Source organism: Homo sapiens, chromosome 1 (genome assembly GCF_000001405.40).
Source record: "Homo sapiens chromosome 1, GRCh38.p14 Primary Assembly".
Classification (NCBI taxonomy): domain Eukaryota; kingdom Metazoa; phylum Chordata; class Mammalia; order Primates; family Hominidae; genus Homo; species Homo sapiens.
The window spans coordinates 103,699,687-103,705,244 of record NC_000001.11 but is presented as its reverse complement, the minus strand read 5'-3'; the positions used below and the strand labels follow the sequence as shown (position 1 = coordinate 103,705,244).

The 5,558-nt window shown below is 40.8% G+C and overlaps 1 long non-coding RNA gene across 1 annotated transcript; it reads left to right on the top strand.

Annotated features, from left to right (window-relative positions):
• Positions 1–3,806: 3,806 nt before the first annotated feature.
• On the top strand, positions 3,807–4,653 carry LOC105378878 (uncharacterized). Its single transcript, XR_947655.2, has 3 exons — positions 3,807–4,014; positions 4,261–4,364; positions 4,595–4,653. It is a non-coding gene; the product is annotated as an uncharacterized LOC105378878 (long non-coding RNA).
• The last annotated feature ends 905 nt before the right edge of the window (positions 4,654–5,558 follow it).

Sequence of the window (5,558 nt, the reverse complement as noted above, 5' to 3'; positions counted from 1 at the left end):
ACAACATAAGAACTCAAAACATTCAATAAGAAAGAACATAACAATTAAAGCAAAACTAGATGGGAAAAGGAAGAAGCAAATTTCAAGAGAAAACTCAAAAGGCCAAAAAGTGTGAAATGATGTTCAGCCTTGCTAGTAATTGGGAAAAACACAAATCTCTTTTTTTTTTTTTTTTTTTTTTTGAGAGGGAGTCACCCTCTGTCGCCAACACTGGAGTGCATTGGGGCGATCTGGGCTCACTGCAAGCTCTGCCTCCCAAGTTCACACCGCCATTCTCCTGCCTCAGCCTCCAAAGTAGCTGGGACTACAGGGGCCCGCCACCATGCCTGGTTAATTTTTTGTGTTTTTCGTAGAGACAGGGTTTCACCATGTTAGCCAGGATGGTCTCCATCTCCTGACCTCGTGATCTGCCTGCCTCAACTTCCCAATGTTCTGGGATTACAGCTGTGAGCCACCGTGTCTGGCCCAAATCATTTTTAATCTATTAGGCAAAAATTAGAGCTATGATAATATTCATTTTTGGTGGGAGTGTGGCAAAAGGTACTATAACAGAATGCTACTAGAGAGTAAACTTTGATACATTTGTAAGGGCAATTTTGCATAATATGAAAATTTAAAAATATGCTTCCAGTTTCACATACGTTTATCTAGCATACAGAATTACCCATGTGTAAACATGTATACAGATGTTCATTATAACACTTCTTATAAAAACAAAATATTTGCAAATATTCATATGAACAAGTGCATACATATGATCTTAGTCCAGTTAGAATTTTCTGTTTTATTTCAATCCTTTAAAAGACTCAACTTCTGATTCTATATAAACAATTCAAAAAAGAATGTGTTTTCCCTATGTGCATTTGGTCAGGTAAATTAAAAAATACACCTCATGCTAGCCTCACAAAACTGGAATAAGCCTTGGGAAAGAAGTTGTCCTTGAAGCTTGTATCTGACATTGTAGCAGGACGAGCCGCAGAAAAAACCTCTCAGACACTGAGTTGTAGAAGGAAGGGCTTTATTCAGCTGGGAGCATTAGCCAGCTACTGTCTCTAAATCTGAGCTCCTGGAGTGCACAATTTCTGTCCTTTTTAAGGGCTCACAACACTAAAGATTTCACATGAAAGCTTTGTGATTGATTTGAGCAAGCGAGGTATACATGACAAGGACTACTTGCCCCGGTGGTCAGGGAGAAACAGAATATGGAAGAGAGTTTCACAATGTTCTTCTACACAATATCTGGAATCTGTGAATCACATCGGCTTCTAAATCATAAGTGGATGTTCAACTACTGGGTTTAGGCCAACCAGGCCCAGGTCTGTTTTTGGGCCTGGCGCCGGGCTGCCTGTCTTTGGTTTTATTTCCTTGTTGTTTTTACTGAATAGAAAACAATGTAAAACAAGAGGAGAGGGTCTTTCTCCTCTCTCATTTTCTTTCTTTGAGACTTTCACTCATTTTTATTAGTGGGAGCTGTCACTTTTATGATTTATGTTCTTCTGTGCAATAGATTGATAGCCATTTATATTGTATGCTTGTGCTGAAGGCTTTTGGTGAAATAAGGGAGAGACGAAGTTTTTTATGATTTGGAGAAACACAGGTATCAGACAAGGGAGCAGTAAGCAGGTTCCTATTACTATTATTACCTCTATTATAAGAGTTTTAAATCCTCCTATTGCTGGGAACTACTTTCTAAACATGGCTCCTGGATTGAGTCTGTGCCAGCCTTGCACGAGTACATGTGCCAGTTTTGTTATATCCTTAAGTATATGCTCAACTACTTGTTCTTTATCATCTATGTGTAGGCAACATGTTTCGTCAGATTCTCTCGCCAGGCAAGAACAGTCAAGGCTTGTTGGGTTTTATTAGTAATAATTTCTAAAGCAGCTTGTAACCATATGAGCATGTAGATAGGGGTTGGATATCCTCATGAGCCATCTTGTACTTAAGTGGCGGGTCCATAGTATTGTATGATTCTTTCAGGGGTGCATTCATCATCTTTCTAACCACTTATGGCTATGCTTCATTTTGCCTGGGAAGCATAGACTGGGAAGCCTACAAGTTCAACTGTTTTTATGGGCAGTAAGAAGAAAGATGGCTTCATGGTGCCAATTACACAGCCACACGCCCACTGGTCAGGCAGCTTAGCATAAGCTTTGTGTCTACATATCTAGCATAACCTAGTGGGGGCCGTCCAGTCCTGGTGGAATTCTGGATGGGCCTAAACAGTCTGCAACTTTGGAAATTTGCTGAATGCATTTCTTTCTGTGTAATTGGAACTGTACCATGTAACTGTTTTTGTGGCACCATTATACAGGTTTTGCCTAAGACAAATAAGCCGCCTTACGGGATGAGTAAATCCTTTTCTTTCTCTAGCTACGCATTACTGTCTAATAATTGTGACTTTTAGAAACTAAAAATTGTCGGGGTTGTTCTTTTGGGATGGAATTCGTGAGGAACTCCATCTGTAGGAACTAATTCTTGGGCTTCTTATGGCCATTGATCTCCTGTTACAGTCCTTCCACAAACATCACATGAAATGACTTGTAGAGACTGGGCTACATGTTTGGCTAATTGCAAAAACAAATTTTTAGTTTTTTTCAGAAATTTCAGGTATAGGCACATTGAATTCATCATAGAAAGTGTGAAATACTTGTCCTGGTGAGCGTTTTTGAACTTCTTCTTTTATCAGGATGCTTACACTAGAATCTAGTCCTTTTCTATCAATGCCTAATGTTATATATTTTCTTTTATTCCACTTTGGATCTGAGGGGTTTGTGATGATCAATTTTAAAGGGTTGCAGCTCCCACTTGTGCAAGAGGGGCTGACTTTTCTTTTTTGGAGCCAAACAGGATCTTTTTTATCTTTCTTCTAAGTAGCCTAACTGACGCAATACCACTATTGACACATCGAACATAAATATGGTTCTTGACAGATGTACTTATTTTCTGTGTGTAATTTTTCCCAAATTTAGAGAAATGCATCTTATCCTCTGCTGTTTAGTATTAATAGTGGCACGAGCATCAAATTTTAAAGTTACATTTGTGGGGACTCTTCTTTCTTCTGTTCTAGCTATCACTTTACTTGTGTTACTTAGAGAAGGACCAGTTCTTAGTCTTACTTCGAAGACTGTGATCATGGGGGTTTAGAGGGGTCATAGCACACATCGGGCTGGTCACTTCCTGGATTACATACTTAGTACTGGGTGTTATTATACAAACAGGTTCTGTTTGGAGTTCTTAGGCATTCATAATAGCTGTAAAATAAAACGATCATCTTAACTTGTCCTTCTTCAGTGTCCTGATGTATGCACTGAAGGCAGTCCTCTGTGTGGGAAGAGGTAGTGGAAGCTTTTACCACACAGGTCCATGTTATAAGGACAATAAGTCCTACGACGATTTTCCTCATGCTTTGGCCATGTGTAGTCTAGTCAGCTTCGTGGTGTGATTGGAGCAGGGCTTGTCATTTTCTTCAAGGTCACTTTTCAGGGATTGTCCAAGTTTGGTTTGGCCTCCTAGGTCTCAGCGGCTGCAGGCTTCATGAGGCTGTGGTGAATCTAGGCTGGGATTCCTTCTACATTGACAGCTGTGGGAGTGGTCAGGTTAATTGTCTGGGGTCCTTTCCACTGTGGCCACAGCGGAGCCACGTTCCAGTCCTTGATCCACACAATGTCACCTGGAGAAAAAGGGTGAACTGGGGAGAATCAGCTGCCTGGGCACCTCTCATTTACTCAAGTTGAGATAGTCTGAGTAATTTTCCCTAAGGCCTGTAGCTGCCGCTGTAATGCAATCTCACCTAACTCTTGGGGAGTACCTGGAAGCCCTCCCAGTATGGGAGGAGGCCTATGATACAGAATTTCAAAGGGGGAGTATGCTGTTCTCTTAGAAGGGGTACACTTAATTTTAAACAATACTATAGGAAGGACTTGTGTCTATTTTAAATTTGTTTCTTGACATACTTTCCAGAAACTTTTTCTGATAGTTCGATTCATTTGCTGCACTTTCCGGAACTCTAAGGTTGGTAAACGGCATGTAACTTCTATGAAATTCTTAATACCTTTGCCGTCTTCTGTATCAAGTCAGCAACAAATGCTGGCCTATTATTTGAGCCAATTCGTAGAGGCAGTCCAAACCTAGGGATGAAATTTTGAAGAAGTACACAGGTTACTTCAGGAGCTTTTTCAGTTCATGTTGGATAAGCCTCCACCTACTTAGAGTAAGTAAACACTAGAACCAGTAAATACTTGTTACTTCTACATTTAGGCATTTCTGTGAAGTCCACTTGAAGATCTTCAAAATGAGCTGCTCCAGAGGCTTCTATTCCCCGAGGTACAGAGGGGCCTTGCTTCGCATTGTGCTGTCCACAGGTAAGGCATCACTGCGCTACTGTTGTAGCAACAGCTGGCAAGGGTGAGATGTAGAAATACTGGCCTAACAGCTTTTCAAGTGATTCTTGGCCTCAATGGGTAGTTTCACATACAGTCAGCATGACTGTATAGCAGCGGTGGCACTGCTATTCTTCCATCTGGTAACTTTATGTATCTTTCCTTTATTGTTTGTCCTCTCTCTGTCTGAAAAAATTCTTTTTCCTCTTTAGAATAAGTTGGCACCAGATCAAGCATTTGAAGGAGTAGCAGGGCTGTGACTGATGTCTGGTAAGGAGTAGATGCTGCTTTTCCTGCCTCTGTGTCTGCTCAGGGCTTTCCTTGGCAAACCGAAGCGGAAACTCGCTGATATCCCCTGCAATGCATGAATGCCACCTTTTGGGGTTTCTACACTGCTTCTAATCATTGTAGAATTTCTTGCTGACATTTTATGTCTTTTCCTCTAGAATTTTTTCCTTATACAATGCTCCACATACTTGAAGGGTTAGAAAGGCATATCAAGAATCAGTATAGATGTTTACAATCTTAGGTTCACTGAGTTCCAGAGCCCGAGTTAGAGGAATGAGTTCTGCTTTTTGGGCTGAAGTGCTCTGAGCCAATGGCTTAGCTTCAACAACATCATCTAAGTTTACTACTGCATATCCTGCACACCTTTCTCTTTGCGGGTTGATGAAGCTGCTTCTGTCCATGTAGAACTCCTAATCTACCAATGCCTATGGCTGGTCTCAAAGATCTGGTCTGCTAGAATAGACATAGTCCAACACCTCTACACAGTTATGTTTAACAGGGCTGTCTGATACTGGGAGCAAAGTGGCAGGATTTAAAGAATTACAGACTTCTATGGTTATACATTGATTTTCACATAACAAGCTTTGGTGTTTAGTTAATGTAGCATTTGTTAGCCAATGGTGTCTTTTGGTGTTCCTTAGAGTTACATTAGAGTCAGCTTGGGCTGACATAAGTTTTTCTTTTAACTTATAAGTCTTGTTGTTGTAGAGACCTCTATTTAAAAGGCTCTCGGTCACCCCCTTTATAACTCCATTCAATGCTTTGGCTAACACCACAAAGTTTGGAATCTGCAGTCTGCAAAAATCTCACAGCTCCTAAATGTTCTCTTATTTGCCTCCTGGTTTTAGGTTCTGGTAAGCTGCAGATGACCTGCTTTCTTGCTGACCA